The sequence below is a fragment of the Homo sapiens genome, chromosome 4 (assembly GCF_000001405.40).
Source record: "Homo sapiens chromosome 4, GRCh38.p14 Primary Assembly".
NCBI lineage: Eukaryota > Metazoa > Chordata > Mammalia > Primates > Hominidae > Homo > Homo sapiens.
The window spans coordinates 46,994,356-47,012,633 of NC_000004.12; the positions used below are offsets into that span (position 1 = coordinate 46,994,356).

Sequence of the window (18,278 nt, forward strand, 5' to 3'; positions counted from 1 at the left end):
TGCGACACTCTTCTTTTTCAGAATGGAGTTGACTTACTTCCAGAGGTTGACTGCTTTAGGTAGGGGGAAAGGACGGCTGGAGAGAGAGTGGGGGGGGAAAGAGAAAATGTGTGTGTGTGTGTGTGTGTGAGAGAGAGAGAGAGAGAGACAGAGAGAGACAGAGAGAGAGAGAGAGAGAGAGGCAGAAGGTGGGGTATGGAGAGAAAGGATACATAAATTAAAATGGAGGGGGACAAATATTAGTTCCCTTGTGACATGAAAGGGAACACTAAGCTCCATATCTTTACTGTTTTACTGAGCAAAGATAAGCATTCCCAATAGATCTTTGGAAACATTAATTATTGGCTCCAAGGGGGAAAAGCGTCTTTCAAATTAGTAATGATGCATGTGGAAATTTTCATATGATGGATCAATGAGCTAAGTAATTCCCATACCTTGGAACCAAACACCAATTAGGTTCTAGTCGGAACTCTGATGATTTGTTCAAATTGAGATGACTAGTGGACGGGTATGAAGAGGGAACGCATTGTATTAGACAGGGGTTTTGGTTTTTTTGTGTGTTTTAAACGTCTGGATTCAAGTTTTCTTTCTAAGGGAAAGCCCAAAGTGCTCATCGTGGGCAGTAGCTAGAGCTCCGTGCTCTGTATTCTGTACTGCTTTCTTCATGGAATTTGTTAACTTCATCCTAATCCCATCTCTATCATTCTTTTCTCATAGACTGTGGTCTCTCTGAGGGCCTGGGCTAGGTAATTTTTGCTCATCTGTGTTTATTTTATCTGCTGTTACAGTGCATGGCACATAGAATGTCAATAAATATTTATTGAATGAACAATTAAACAAAGCAATGAATTGCTTGTTCTCAGATCCATCTTATAAATGTGGATGACTATCAAGCTCTCTCGTTTGGGAAAAATAGCGGAAGAACTAGTGTATCCTCCAAATATGCCATGAAAGCATTAGTCACCACAGATTCTCCACATATTATATTATTTCTCTAATCTTAATACTTTCCTACCTTTTTAAAAAGAGAATTTAGCTCTGTTGCCCAGGCTGGAGAGCAGTGGTACCATCATAGTGACTGCAGCCTCTACCTTTTGGGCTCAAGCAATCCTTCTACCTCAGCCTTCTAAGTAGTTGGAAGTACAGGTATGTGTCACCATGCTCTGTTAATATATTTTTATATTTTTGTAGAGATGTGGGGGCTCTGCGATGTCACCAGGCTACCCTCAAACTCCTGGTCTCAAGTGATCCTCCTGCCTCTGTCTCCCAAAGTGCTGGTATGACAGATGTAAGCCACCGCCTTACATTTGTAAGCCTTTTCCTATACTTTCTAAAACCTAAATTTGTATTTTCTAAACCACTTTCCCTTGCAATTTTCATTTTAAAAATACACATATCAAAAAATTAAGAAACCAAAATAATGGCTTTGGGGAAACAGTTACATATCGTATCTTTAAAATTCAAACTTAAAATCTGTGAAACTATTATATTCAAATTAAAAGAACATTCTTTCAGAGTAGCTACTTCCAGTTATATTTTTGTTAATTGGGTTATAGTATTTAAGTTCAGCTGAAGATAATACTAAAGGCATTTATATCTCTTCTCATTTTATTTCACAGTCTTTTATTTATGCCACTTTTGTATTACTTCAAGAAGATATATGTTGAATTTCACTGCCTGAAATCTTTAAAAAAATATTGCCTGCTAACTTGAGGTTTTTTTTTTTTTTTTAGAAATCTAACATTCTGAAAAGTTATAATTTACTTTAACTTATGAATATAAATATGCTATTGTTTCCCATGTAAACTCCTATTTGTGATAGCCCAGGATTGTCAGTGAATTATTATTATTGTCTGTGTAGCTGTGCAGAAATAGGAAGGTGTTAAAATCATACCTATACCTCTTTTTTTCTTTAAGTTGATATAAGCCTCTGATTACTAGGTTTAGCAGAATTTGAATTGGGCCCAAGTACACTATCCCCAAATATCATTATATTAAGCCAGTCACATTTTATAAATTTAACAAATGAGTTTACTTTGGATATAATAAGATGCAAATAATACAGATAACCCAACTGCTAACGTCTTAGGATGGACACTTTAAAGCCCACAGTGCCTATGAAATGCCCTGGAAATGAACACAAAATCTTGTGTTTATGTAAGTATGTGCATTTTCCTGTGAGACTTTATCTCTCATCAAGTTCTTATAGGCCATGGACAACTGTAGTATGGACCAACATTTTAATATAAAAGATAACTCAAATATTAGAACATTTGACCAAACAGGCGAATGAATATTTGTAGTTAATGTGTGATAAAAATCTCTATCCCATTTTATAAGCTTCCCCATTGCCAGTTTCTATAGACTGTCATGTAGATTGTAAGTCTCTTGCAGGTACTTGGTCCCATCTATTGTCAATTTATCATATGTCCAAAGAGCTTGGTATGCAAAATATTTGAGTGGTAATAAATTAAATAATCTGAAAGGATTCAACCTGTTCCTCTTTTCTTTCATTAATTCTTTCTGGTAAAAATTGAACCAATTGTAACCATTTGAGGAGGGTACTGATGTGAATTACTGCTTTAAATTCTGAAGGCTTGTAGATATAGGCCCAGTTTGAAATGCTCCTGTTCCAAGAATTTAGAAGCTATTGACAATTTTATGTTAATGTATTTCTCTGTCCCTCGTATTTTGCATAGGTGGGAAGAATTGATTTAATAGTCTCTTAGTTAATGCCTTTTCTCATTTGTATTAAAACAGTGTTTCCACTGAAATATTACCTGTATACCAGCCTACTATCATTGTCTAGTTATAGACTTTTTATCTTCACTCATTTCTTATTGTATGTATTTGAGGTATACAACAAGATGTTTTGATATAAATATATAGCAAAATGACTTTTACAGTCAAATTAACATATCCACCACCTTACATAGTTACCTTTTTGTGTGTGAGGATCGAGTACCTAAAATCTACTCTCTTAGCAAATTACTGTTCAGTGTGCAATGAAATATTATTAACTGTGGCCTCATGTTGTACATTAGATCTTATTATACATAACATATTATTATATAATATATAATAATAATAACTTTCTTATACATAACTATAACTTCGTACGCTTCAAGCTGTATCTCCTAAATTCCCCCCTACCATCCCTCCTTTGGTAACTACCATTCTACTCTCAGTTTCTATGTACTTGACTATTTATAGATTCCACAAATAAGTGAGATCATTTCATATTTATTTTTCTGTGCTATCTGTGTCTGGTCTATTTCACTTACTATATGTCCTCCAGGTTCATCCATGTTGTTGCAAATGGCAGTATCCCTTCTTTTACAAAGCTGTACATATAGATGTGTGTGTATATATATGTATGCACACACGTATATATATACACACACATATATATGCACACATACACATATACACATATACATATAACAGTTTCTTTATTCATTCATCCACTGATGGACACACATAGGTTGTATCCATATCTTGACTATTATGAATAATGCTGCAATAAACATTAGAGCTCAGATATCTCTACAAGATGCTGATTTTATTTCCTTTGGGTGTATGTTCAGAAGAGGGATTGCTAGGTCATCTGATGGTGCTATGTTTAGTTTTTTGAGGAACCTCCATATCGTTTCCACAATAGCTGTACCAGCTTACATTCCCACCAACAGTGTACAAGGGTTTCCTAATCTGGGGGAATTTAACATATTGTATTTGAGTAAACATTTCATAATACCAGTTAATACTGCTGTCAAAATAAGAATTTTTTGCCATATAGTTAATGCAGATTTAGATATTTCAGTGCAATTATTTGAAAAAAACAAAATTGTGACAATACTATTATCTGAATAAACTTTACACATGAAATTTGGAAAGTCACCTATTATAGTATGTATTTTAGATTATTAATTATTTTTTTATAATTTTCTGAGATCAAGTTGGACATTAAGACAATGTATCAATATTTAATAGTCTCCAAGATCTCACATTAATTTGAATTACATTCAGAAATATTAGTTATTCAATATTAGCTTTTGTTTTGTTTGAAAGTCTGAAGTTTTAAAATAGGTGGAGGCCAGCCAGGCATGGTAGCTCACGTGTGTAATCCCAGCACTTTGGGAGGCCGAGGTGGGTGGATCACGAAGGTCAGGAGATGGAGACCACCCTGGCTAACATGCCGAAACCCCGTCTCTACTAAAAATACAAAAAAATTAGCCAGGCGTGGTGGCAGGAGCCTGTAGTCCCAGCTACTCGGGAGGCTGAGGCAGGAGAATGGAGTGAACCCGGGAGGCGGAGCTTGCAGTGAGCTGAGATTGTGCCACTGCACTGCAGCCTGGGCCACTGAGCAAGACTCTGTCTAAAAAAAAAAAAAAAAAAAAAAAGTGGAAAGAATACAATTTAAGGGGATACAATCCAAGTAATACATTTAATAACTACTTTTAGGCTCAATTGAAAATGCCTAATAATGTGTGAAGCATTATTTTATTCATCAGACTTGAATTCTGAAATAAGCTCTCAGAATAAGTTTAGAAGTGCTACTCCAAAGAGCAGTGATTGTGTGTGTGAGATGGTGTGTGTGATCGTGTGTAATTAGTACTCTGTACTAATTACTACAAGAAACATTCCTTTAATTATGTTAGTGTATATGTATGGTATGTGCGAATTTTTAGTTTCTGAAAAAGATGATACTATTGTTAAGAAACACATTTATTTTCAGCACCTAATAGTAATGGTTTGCAAGGATAATTTATGCATTACCGATAGTGCCCCAAATTAACCCATATAGTTTATTTAGAGGGGATACACAAAGATGTAAATACTGGAGGTATGATTCATTTGATGGCCATTTAAACATTGTTAAATTTGTTGCCAAGTGCCTATTTTATGATGAATATAATGTCATGTCTTGTTTCAAGACTGATAAGGGACTAATAGAACCACTTTGGAAAGCAGTTTGCCAATATATTTAAGTTTAACATATTCATACCATATGACCAAACCATCTAATTTAAATTTTATAGCTCCAAGAAACTCTCAAACATGTTCATGAGGAGACATCTAAAATATGTTACGTTGTTTGTAATAGTGGAAACTTAGAAACAAATTAAATGTCATTTAACAGGGAAGTGGATACATTACATTGTGGTGTAAAGAGAGAACTAGACAACAATTAAAATAAGGAAATAAGATATATGTTTCAATATAAATATATCAGGAGTAAATGTATACAAAAGAAGCAAGAGGCAAAACAAAGAAATCATTCTCCAAAGAGCTGAAGAGACCAGTGACTGACAGAAATTGTTTAGTTTACAAGATAACAAATAAAAAAAGAAACAGTGCTAAAACTCCTTCTGCTTATAAGATAACAAAACTAGCTAAAATGGATTAATGCCAATATGACTGTTGAAATAGACTTTGCAGAGAACAGACATGCTGACATCACAGCCTGAATATTCACTGCATGTTTCATACTAACTCCTCCCAAATTTGCACATGGGACCCATGAGGAGGCATGAAGAGATAACTGTGCATGCCCAAGGACTTTCCAGACCTCCTCTTTCCTTCCACCAATCTCCTGCTAATTCCAGAATCCACCCCCTAAACTTTTTCTAATAAAATTACTACCTTAAAGCCAGTACAGGGAGACAGATTTGAGCTGGACTCATGTCACCTTGTTAGTCAAATTGCAATAAAAACTTCTCTTTTATCAAAAACTCAGTGACATACTATTGGCTTCTAGTGCATCAGGGAGCAAACCACTTTCTCTCAATAATGATAATACCTTCAGCCAAATACTCATATAAAATTTAAAACTTAAAAAAACCATTATGCATGTTGTAGGTATGTATGTAGCCATATGAACAAATTTGCATGAAAAAATTAATAACAAATTCAAGATAATGGGTATCTGTGGCAGAAAGAGGAATGAAATAAGGGAAACATTGACTATTTCAACTGTTTATGTAAGCTTTATCTCATTAAAAATACCTCAAGCAAATATTGCAAAATGTTAAGTTTTGCTAAATCTGGTGGTCAGGACTTAGGTGTTCACTATGTTACTTTTTTTATATTCATCTTCTTTTGTGGAGCAAAGCACTATAAAACTTTCTAGCTTAAAACAATTTATGATACTCTTTCACAGTGCACATAGTTTGACTAGGCTCATATGGTGGTTTTCCCTGGAGGTCCTTCATCCCATTGCAGTTAGATAGTGGCTGGGGCTGGCATAATTTGAAGGTTTGACTGAGCTGGGCATTGAAGATAGCTTATTGCTTCACATGACTGGTGCTTCAGATAGACAGGGGGAATTGGCTGGAGATCTCTCTTCCCCCACCTCCCCCATCTTACTTACTTAGCCAGCTTGGATTTCCACATAACATGATGATCTTGGGGTAGTAAGACTTTTTATATGCCGGCTGGTTTTCCCAAAGTAAGCATTTCAAGTTAGACTGAAGCTGAAGACTTCTTATGACCAAACCTTGAAAGTCACAGAGCATTATCCTATTGGTCAGAGCAGGTAACAGGGTCAAACCAGATTCATGCAGAGGGGATAACAAAGATGTAAATACTGAGAGATATGATTCATTTGATGGCCATCTTTGAAGACTAGCTGTTATATATATTTTTCATATGCCTGAAATATTTCATAGAACAAATTGAATAGCATTTTATAAGAATGGTGTGATGGTTAACTTTGTGTTAATTTGCCTGGATCACAGTACCCAGATGTTTGGTAAGATATTATTTTAATTTAATTTTAGTTTTTTATGTTTATTTTTTATTTTTTGAGATGGAGTCTCGCTCTGTCGCCCAGGCTGGAGTACAGTGGCGCGATCTGGGCTCACTGCAAGCTCCGCCTCCCGGGTTCACGCCATTCTCCTGCCTCAGCCTCCCGAGTAGCTGGGACTACAGGCGCCCCCCACCACGCCCAGCTAATTTTTTGTATTTTTAGTAGAGATGTGGTTTCACCGTGTTAGCCAGGATGGTCTGAATCTCCTGACCTCGTGATTCTCCCGCCTTGGCCTCCCAAAGTGCTGGAATTACAGGTGTGAGCCACCATGCCCGGCCAGATATTATTTTCAATATTTCTGTGAATGTATTTCTTGGATGAAATAAAGATTTTAATCAATAGACTTTGAGTAAAACAGATTACCCTCCATAATTTGGGCGAGCCTCATCCAATCTGTTGAAGGCCTTAATAGGCAAAGACTGACCTCCCAGAAGAGGGAATTCTGCCAGCAGATGGACTTCAGATTTGATCTGCAACATTAGATATTCCCTGGGTCTCCAGTCTGCCAGACTTCCCTGCAGATTTTGGGTTTACCAACCCCTGTAATTGTGTGAGTCAATTCCTTAAAATTTCTACAGATAGAATAATCTATACTCTATCGGTTCAATTTCTCTAGAAAATCCTAACTAATACAGTTGTACGGGGATATAAAATTAAATGTTTATTAAATGTTTTGGGTTCTAGTAAAATTTTGTGTGTCAATTCAATGTTAAAATTTTTCTCACCTTTCAAATGCCATTAAATTGTTCCAAAAAGTGATATGAAATTGTTACAGAACTCTGAACTTTATCTTACAACAACTTATTGTTTTTATTAGTCTTAGGATAGGCAGTTTTTTACGACACAGTAACTCATGATATGTGAACCATTATAAATGTTAAACTTTCATGAACTATTACTTAGATTCTAAATTAATCATTATATTTGAATTTTGTTCTTTTGACTTTTCAGTCAAACAATGCATTCTCACTATAGAGATTTTGGAGACAACAAAATACTAGAAAGAAAACATTATATACCATACAATGTAAAACACATTTTAAAACTCTTTTTAAAAACATAGGCCTAAGCCTTTGCGAAAATATCAACATTTACTTTACAAGCTTTGGGTAAAAAAGTAGTGAGTGAGCATATTTGGCAAGTTAATAAGCCAAAGAAACAAAGATGCAGAATGTGTTGTGTATTTTATGCAATTTTATTATATATATTTGCATTGGATATTTTAATCATTTTTTTTACTGGTGATATGAAGGAATTCCTCTTTTAAATATATTTATAACCAGAAGAAAACACAAATTAAACCTAAAGAATGCAGGTATTTTCACTAATCATTCTAGACACAAATATTTTAGTCTTTCAAATGTTTAAATAAGAACCACCTTTAAAGTAAAGCACAATAGCAGAAATGTATGTGTTTTTTTTTCTGTATCTTTAAGTCCCCAATACAGAACCTATAACACAAATCAGACACACGCAAACTAAATGATTAAAGTATCATAGATATATACTAGCCTGCCATCAAACCAACACAGTGTTTGGAATTAAACTTTCACTTTCCAAACAAATCTGTGAATCCTGAACATGATACAGTGGTGAAATATTTGGTCCTCAAAAGACTATGAAGCCAGACTGCTCTTCATTACCATCTGGTGGCTACTGCATGGAGTGGCATTAACCATAATTTTAAGAGAGAGTTAAAGGGAGTGAATGTCATAAGAATAGAAGGAGAACCTCAATGGTATTGATTAATATTGAAAATGCATGAAGATAAATATCAGAGAAGGATTTGGGACTTTGCCATAGAAAAGTATACCACAAAAAGTTATTTATTGGAAACAGTTTAGAGTGAGCAAAAGTTGAATGTTTGATTTATGGATAGCATAAGACTCCCAAATCACTCCTATTTGCTTTATAATAAAAAAAAACTTTGTTCTTTTAGTGATAAATTCTATGTAGCAAATTGTCTGAATCTACTAAAGCTTTCAGTCCTCCATGTATCTTCACATGTCACTTGCCTCAGAAGTACCCTTTTCTATTTTATCTACCTGGAAAACACTTACATATCTTTAAAATTTAGATTAAGTGCAGCTCACTTGTGAAATCCACCTCCTCCCAGGTAAGGGTTTTGTTATCTGTCTCTACAGACTGTTGTAATTCTGTGGACCGTTTGCCTAATGGTTTCTTTTCATGACTGACTGAGTTTCTCGAGGATGGGGATGATGTTTTATTTATTTTTGTAAGACCCAAGTCCTAAGCATTTAATATGCTTATGTAAGGAATGAATCCAGGAGGAAGTTCATTGTTATTTAGGAAATAAATAACAATATTTTAAACCAAAAGAAACCTCTCACATTTCAGACTTGACAGACACTGAGACAAGGGACAAATTTAGGTTTTGGAGAAAGTAAATGTCCATATTGACATTCAAGTTTCCCACTTCCATGACAGAATTGCAGAGCTAAAACAGAACCAGAGAAATCATCTAGTTCTGCTACATTCTTTTAAGTATGGGAATGAGGCTCAGAGAGACGACATGATTTTCCTAAGTTTCTGTAATTGCTAACTACCAGAATCAGGATTGGAATCCCAGTCTTCTGACTCTTCCTCCAGTGAGGCGTTTATTCTGCTGATTTAATCTCTGACTTCCCTTAAGAGGAACCTTAGGTCTAGGAAATTGGGCTTTGAACCTAAAATGCAATGTCCTTTCAGGAATTCAATCCTATTGATCAATGTCAGCCCACACATATTTACAGGCAAGTTAGGAAATCATTAATTATGTTATGCGGCATTACAATAATATATTTAAAACGTTCTTTTGTTTTTTTTGTTTGTTTTGTTTTTGTTTTAGATGGAGTATTGCTCTGTCCCCAGGCTGGAGTGCAGTGGTGCCATCTCGGCTCATGCAACCGCCACCTCCTGGGTTCAAGCGGTTCCCCTGCCTCAGCCTCCCGAGTAGCTGGGACTACAGGCGCGTCCCACCAAGCCTGTCTAACTTTTTGTGTTTTAGTAGAGACGGGGTTTCACCATGTTGGCCAGGTTGGTCTCGATCTCCTTACCTTGTGATCTGCCTGCCTCGGCCTTTCAAAGTGCTGAGATTACAGGTGTGAGCCACCGTGCCTGACCTACAATAATATATTTAAAACTTTCTTAAAGTTCTTTAATTTTTCCCAGTGGTTACAATTCTAGGCATTGATTCTAAGAAAATGACGAGACACTTATGTCAAGATTATAGGCATGATGAGCAATAGAGCATCATTATTAATACCTTTTATTTTTAGTTTTTATGGGTACATGGTAGGTGTATTTGTTTATGGGAGACATGAGATATTTTAATACAGGCATGCAATGCATAATATTAATACTTTAAAAAAAAAGAATAGGTTCCCTGGTTTAATTTCCAATGTCTTTGACTATTAAAGGATATACTTTAGGGTTGAATGGGAAGAGTTTGAGATGCTCAAAACACACCTTGCTTTTTGACTGCCTATTCCAACTATTGGTGCGGCCAGACACTTGATTTAAAAAACAAACAGACAAGCAAACAAACAAAAAACAGATGACACAGTCTCTTCGAATCTGTTAAGATACGTAGTTTATAATCCAGAATTGGTTTTATTCTGTCAATGTGTATTTGATTTCGTATCATCTAGTTTTTCCACCTTTAAAAATTATACTTCTAGGAAAAACAATATGTTTGCTATTTGAAGTTTAATACTTATAGTTTCAATAGTTTTGTGTTTCCTCGAAGGTCAATGGCATGCAGTGATTTGTAACTGTTGCTAAGGCATATATAGAAACAGTGAATTCTGAGAGGCTAAGGAGCAGGCAGATGCAATCACCTAGATGGAGAGAGAGCCAAAGCCAAGAGTGGGCCTAGGGGGAGGCCAGACACACCTGGCTTTGTGACTCCTAGGGTTAATGTCCCAGATGCAGAAACTTTCCTGAAGTGATTTTTAAAAATGGTTCTCCGTAGGGCCAGGCGCAGTGGCTCACGCCTATAATCCCAGCACTTTGGGAGGCCGAGGCGGGTGGATCACGAGGTCAGGAAATCGAGACCATCCTGGCTAACACGGTGAAACCCCGTCTCTACTAAAAATACAAAAAATTAGCCAGGCATGGTGGCGGGCGCCTGTAGTCCCAGCTACTCGGGAGGCTGAGGCAGGAGAATGGCGTGAACCCGAGAGGCGGAGCTTGCAGTGAGCTGAGATCCAGCCATCGCACTCCAGCATGGGCGACAGAGTGGGACTCCGTCTCAAACAAACAAACAAACAAACAAAAACTGTTCTTGGTGAGGAAGTGACCATCCAGTGAGATTTTAAATGTCAGTGTATGCTGAAAATGCAGCAAACCTGTGGTTTGAGCACAGTATCTGATAAGGATCCATTTGATGCTAAAAGAGAAAGTAGTAAAGCAATGCAAACATTTCAGTCATAAGGTAAAAACCATCGGCAGTCTCTCTTAACTTATAGTCAGCTTTTTTTAAGCCTCCTGAAGATCCAAGGACTAAAAATGTCCTTTTGTCAATCACAGAGAACTTTACGTCTCCCTCTGCAACTTCTCTAAAATTAGGAACCAGTGCTTCTGCAATGGCTACCCAATTTCTTTACCTAACTCTGAAAGAGTCAACTTGTAACATATGGGGCTTAGCAAAACTGTGCCTTCATTTAATTTGTCCTCTACTCTGGCTTATTTGCAGCCAAACTTTCAGGATTTTAATCTTTGTCTTATGAATACAAATGTCTTCTTTCCTCCCTTCTTTCATTTCTTCCTGTACTTATTTTTTTATTTACTTAAAAACTTGGAAGTATCTGATTTGAGGAGGCTTTTGTTATTCTTTTTTTTTTCACATCTTCTAATAAAGAAGCAATAATTTCTTTTGTTTTATTTTGCTTGGTAAAAATCAGACACTATTTTTCTGACTCATTTTGACATTCTTTGACAATGGAATCCCTTCCATTAGATCATTTCCGACAGAATTATAACGAAAAATGTGTTTTTCTCTGTCCCTGATATATTGAATTATGACCACAGATTTTGATTTTAGATTGGGTTCATCTTTCAAAAATTTCATAAGTCTACCAATCTTTCACAGACAGACCCTTCATTATGTTATGCTGAAACAGTTGGGCTCTTGGGAAAGATATTTATTGTAATAAAATAATACTATACATATATAATACATATAATACAGAGTGCATATTCCCACAGAATTTGCAGTACCAAAAAATTAAAAATGTTTTCAAAACTTTCCTATAATGATCATAAGATGGAACTATTTTCTTTTATAGGTCAGGTACATCTATTGCATCTATAATATGTCTTATAACATGAATACAAAATTATTCCAAAATCAAATTGCTTCACTTGCATTTTATTATAGTGACTTGAATTTTGATAAGATGTGTAGCTATAAAAATACTGTTTATCAAGTGGGGAATTATAGAGTCCAAGAATAAAAAATCATTATATCTAGGTTTAGCATAAGGTTCTGTAACTAACATGTTATTTTCAACATATTTGGCTTTTCTTGTAACACAAAGTTTTGCTATATGTGAACTCTAACAGGAACAAGTGAGATTAAGTGAGACAAATAGACAAATATTTAAATAATTGCATTATATATAAAAGTAAATGCTGCAATTAAAGATAAAGATTGCCACACTGAATAACAAAACCAATCTCAAGTTTACTTAAAAGAGATAAACTTTAGGCTGGGGATGGTGGCTCAAGCCTGGGATTCCAGCACTTTGGGAGGCTGAGGCAGGTGGATCGCTAGAGCTCAGGAGTTTGAGACCAGCCTGGGCAACATGGCAAAGCCTACAAAAAATTAGCCAGGCATGGTAGCATGTACTTGTTGTCCCACCTACTTAGGAGGCTGGGGTCCGAGGATTGCTTGAGCCTAGGAGGCCGAGGCTGTAGGGAGCCATGATCGTGCCACTGCACTCCAGTCTGAGTGACAGAGCGAGACCCTGTTTGGATAAAAAAAAAAAGAAAAAGAAAAGAAAGTACATAAACTTTAAATGTAAAGACAGAAAATTTTAAGGTGAAGTACACATCATTTGTCATTATATTAATATCCAGCAAAGGATGCTTTATCTGTAAAATGTATTATTAAAGAGAGATATTTCAAAGTGATAAAGAGGTAAACCTGTCAGAATGATCTAATAATTCTCAATTTATCTGAACCTCAATTAATAGCTTAAAAAACTAAAGAACACATTGACAAAACTAAGATCTCTAATTATAGTGGGATGTTTTAACATACGCTTCTCAGTAACTAAAGGAACAAACAGGTGAAAAATGTAATAAAGGCATAAATGATTTTAACAGCACTGTTAACAAACTGGACTTCACTGACATAGAGAGAATGCTGCACCTAATAACTGCAGAGTATATATATTCTTTTCAAATGACATGTAACCTTATCTCAAGTTGACCACATGCTGGGTTTTAAAGCATGCCAAATAAAGAATGAAGAATGTCAACGAATAGAAATTGTACCAAGAATGTTCTCTGACCATTGTGAAATTAATCTTGAAGTCAATAGCAATAGATAACCAGAGAATCTTTCCAGAGAATGAAGAAAAGCTGGGGCAAGAGGCCGGATAGGGGAGACAGATACCAAGGAGATGTAAGCCTTACTTAGGACATTTGTATTCTAACAGCATTAAGTACCATTAAAGGACGTATACCTTGGAACTGGTATATATATATATATATATATATATATAAAATCAAGTTTGTATTTTTAAATAGTCATTCTGGTTACAGCTGAGATGCCAGGGAGGAATGATTGTGAGATTAGGTAAATAATGTTTTGGAGTGAAGAGAAGTATAGAGACAGGCACGACAATTTGCCCTTACGCATTATTGGTGAGTGTGGTTGCTTGAACTGGAATAGTGGCAGTGGAGATAGAAATAAGAGGAAAGATTAGAGAAATATTTAGGTGGCAAGATGGACATTGTTGGTATTTGTTAGCAAGAAATGACTCCCAGATTTTTGTCTTGGTTACATGCTTGAGTGTTGTCATTCATTAAATACAGAATACAGGAAGTTGGAGGGCAGAAAACTAGAGATGATCATTGTGGGACAACCAAAAGTGCCCTATAGTCACTTAGAACAGTGCTCTGTACCTAAAATATACATTTGAAATGATAAATGGTAAATAAGACGTGGGCTAGATGAGATTCTACAAAGAAATAATAGAAGAGAGTAGAAAGTTTGTGTTAGAATATAAGGAATGCCAACTGTAAAACTTCTAATATGGACTATCATTTCAGGAAAAAATAAAATATTTTACTTTTTTTTTTTTTCTTGAGATGGAGTCTCACTCTTTTGCCCCAGCTGGAGTGTAGTGGTGTGATCTTGGCTCACTGCAACCTCTGCTTTCCAGGTTCAAGTGATTCTCCTGCCTCAGCCTCCCGGGTAGCTGGGATTACAGGCTCCCGCCACCACACCCAGCTAATTTTTTTTTTTTTTTTTTTTTGTATTTTTAGTAGAGACGAGGTTTCACCATGTTGGCCAGGCTGGTCTTGAACTCCTGACCTCAAGTGATCCACCGGCCTTGGCCTCTGAAAGTGCTGGGATTACAGGCGTGAGCCACTGCACCTAGCCAATATTTTAACTGGACTTTTAAAAATACCAGCAGTATTAACTGTAGTTCACCCTGTCACGCTATCAGATACTACCTTTTTTTTTTTTTTTTTTTTTTTTTTTTTGAGACGAGTCTCGCTCTGTTTCCCAGGCTGGAGTGCAGTGGCGTGATCTCAGCTCACTGCAAGCTCCTCCTCCCGGGTTCATGCCATTCTCCTGCCTCAGCCTCCCGAGTAGCTGGGACTACAGGCGCCCACCACCACGCCCGGCTAATTTTTTGTATTTTTTAGTAGAGACGGGGTTTCACTGTGTTAACCAGGATGGTCTCCATCTCCTGACCTCATGATCCACCCACCTCGGCCTCCCAAAGTGCTGGGATTACAGGCATGAGCCACCGCGCCCGGCCAGATACTACATTTTGTTCACTCAATATTTTTGTATATAAATATAAAACAAAATATAAATATATTCAAAATATTTATTAATTAAATTTTATATAAATTATGTATCTATAAAAAGTTAAATATATGTTTTTGTATCAAAACATCACATTTACCACACAAAATATATACCATTATGTACCCATAATAATTAAAAGTTTTAAAAACACTACCATTATAATGTATTTGCCTTACAGGCTTACCTATATAATTTTAAAGAATAACACCTAAAATTAATGCATTAACACAGGTAATCAACACTATCTACCAAGTTTAATGTGTTTAATGTGCTTACATTAAGAACAACATCAATTTTAGTTTTTTTAAGAAGAAAAAAATAGAACTTGAGAGCTAATAAGTCCAGTTGTAGAAACCAAGTTTATGACCATTGACAAGAGGCCTCTGGTTAGCCAGATGATGTCAAAGTCGTATGATAGCATAAAATCCATACCATTGTGGATTATCTCCAAAGGTACTCTGGAATTTGATTGTAGGAGTGGAGAAGTTAATTGGTTGAGGTGATTTAAGTTGGGGGGTTTTAGGGCCTGTCCACTGGATAAGGAGAAGTGTGCCAAAAACATTATGTATTGACCACTGAGTGATTGAGGTAGTACTCAACAGGTGGTCTTCAGCCTGGAACGGAAATAAATAAAACCAAGAATGTGATGGTGGTCACCATTTGATAAGCAACTGAAAGTTTCATCCAAATTCAGTATTTTTTAATGGATGTGTATACTTTGAAAGCTTCCTTTTTAAAGGCTCTACTAAACAGTTCACAAAACAAGACATTCGGATGAGCTGTGCAACTCTGTGCAGATAAACTTTACCTACCACAGCTGACATTTTAACCAGGCTTCTGCTCACCTCTGGATAAATTTGGCTGTTTTGCTGCAGATTCTCAGCCAGCCTTTGCTTTGGTGCATACTCAAGGAAGCTTTCTCAATGAGTGGCACACACTGTCTTGTCCTTCCTTTAATAAGTAATGAAACAATGCAGGAGGAATTGCAATCACCAAAGTATTTCTTTTTAAAAAAATGTTTAAGATGTAATCAGATGATCATGTTATCTGAGCAACAAACTATAATAAAATATAGCCAGTAAAGCTAACCAGACCCATTTGCTGACTATTAGAGCAGTAATAACTTTTTACATTATTTAGTTCAGATCTCTGCCTCATCCTTGCTTAAGAGATGAGAACCTGAGGGGTTAAGTAACAAAATAAAGATCACATCTAGTCAGTTAATGGTAGTTAGGTCTCCTGCCTCCTACTCTAATAGTCTGTGAATGATTGCATAACAATGATTGTGTTGCACACTAATGAAGGAAATATTGTAAGCAATGCAGAGCTTACTTTATTTTGTCAATGCAAATAAATATGATCAACTCAAATGTTGCCACATTTCCCAGTAACTTTTATTATTGTGAAATTATCATGCCATCACCATATATTCTTATTATGTAGCAAAGTTCCTGAATCTTCCTCCCCAAAGCTGGAATGTTGTTGGCTCTGACCTAGTGTCATCCTGACTCCTGAACTTCTTAGCTGTTTCACTTTTGGAACATTGCTTCTCCACTCTGGGTTTCAGTGTCATTTGCAAAATGAGGACAATGATAGTGCCTATTTCATAGGATTTTTATCAAAGATGAAATGTGTTAATACATGTTAAAACTATTTGAAGAGCTCCTGGAACATAGTTAGCACTAACAAAGTGTTAGTTCTATTAATAACTCACACAGTGGATTTTTGAACCTGACACTTTTTTTTTTTAAACTCATTGCCACTGACAGAGAGTCCTTCTTCAGCTAGAGGTAAAAATCTTAAAAGTGTTAAAACATTAGAGAGTTAACACGTTGGTGTGAATAAGTTTTAGTCAAAGTGAAAGTGAAAGCATTAGACTAGTTGCAGTTTCAATGGTAGATGAAATTCAAAGGTCAAAGTACCTAAAAATTGAGAGGAAATGCAGCTGTGTGGGAAACATTAGCAGAAAAAGGTGGGAGGGCCCAGGGACAAACTTCAAAGACTTTCCTGTTTTGCCCAAGACCTCACCTTATCATTGTTGCTGCAAAAATAAGGCCACAGGTATGAGCTGGACCCAGACCTGTGATCCCACTCAGGACTGAGGGAGCTGCAGTAGGTATTAAACCCAGCTGTGAACTGTCTGGGCGGCAACTACAGAGAAAAATGGACAGCAAGAAGGATGTGAGCTGAACTGAGGACTTCTACCTTGGGTACTGCTTGCTTGGGGCCAAAAACTAGGTGCAAGAATGAATAAGGGTAAGGTCCCAAGTAGGGTCAAATGGTTTTGTTTGACCATTTGGGAAACAGAAACATATCAGACTCAGACTCTGAGGCCAAGCTGCTCCCAAAGAGATCATTTGTGGGCATGCACATCTGTTCTGGTATGTTCCAGTCATGGTGGTGGGGTACATGAGTTTGATTAAGCCTTGCTTCACTTTGTATTTTTCATATAGTTTCAATCTTAGGGTAGCTCATTTATTCATATTCTCTGAGTAAAATGCACTTCTTAATAAAGGGGAAAAACTTCCCCTTTTCAAGCTTTAAGATTTGTACCTAAATCTAATTTTATGTTTGATGAATGAGTATAAATCTTCCCACCAACTATATATGCTGTATAGGCTTCTATAAAAATTCTTCCCAATCATTAAAAGCCCATTTTAAAAAATATTTCCAAATACAGGAAAAAAAATCCCACAGTAGAATATGATATAATAAACATCTAGGTACTCCACACTGAGTGCTATTAAATTCTAACATTTGTCAAAATTGATTCAGAATTTAAAAATAAATTAATAAAACATTACAGATACAATTAAAGCTTCCTGAGTATCCACCACACTGTCCTTCATTTGAAAGTAAACACCATATTGAATTTGGTAGTTCATTTCATGCACACTTATATATTTTTACATGTGTATACAAAATAAATACCATGTAACATTATTTTTTGTTTTAAATATTTTATATATAATATCATCATGCAAATTGATGTTTTTAAATTCAGAAGTACATGTGCAGGTTTGTTACACAGGTAAACATGCATCATGGGGGTTTGTTGTACAGATTATTTCATCACCCAGGTATTAAGCCTAGTATACATTAGTTATTTTTCTTGACCCTCTCCCTCCTCCCACCCTCCACCCTCTGATAGGCCACAGTGTGTGTTGTTTCCCTCTATGTGTCCAGGTGTTCTCATCATTTAGCTCTCACTTATAAGTGAGAACATGTGGTATTTGGTTTTCTCTTCCTGCCTCAGTTTGCTAAGGATAATGGTCTCCAGCTCCATCCATTTCCCTACAAAGGCTTTTTATATTAATTTGTATTTTTGAGATTACCTATGTTTAAACATTGTCATGGTAATCAACCCTAGCCTCTATAACAAAAACAATACAAAATAATGAAAAGTTTATTTCTTCT

General features: G+C 36.0%; 1 protein-coding gene across 2 annotated transcripts in view; it reads left to right on the forward strand.

Annotated features, from left to right (window-relative positions):
- GABRB1 (gamma-aminobutyric acid type A receptor subunit beta1) overlaps nucleotides 1-18,278 on the forward strand; it is a 432,801-nt gene that overhangs the window by 709 nt on the left and 413,814 nt on the right. Inside the window, exon 2 of one of the 2 annotated variants that reach the window (XM_024453977.2) lies at nucleotides 22-59. The exons of the other annotated variant lie outside the window; for it this stretch is intronic. The gene's annotated coding sequence lies outside the window, so the exon portion shown is untranslated. The remainder of the gene's footprint in view (nucleotides 1-21; nucleotides 60-18,278) is intronic. 2 annotated transcript variants of the gene reach the window in all.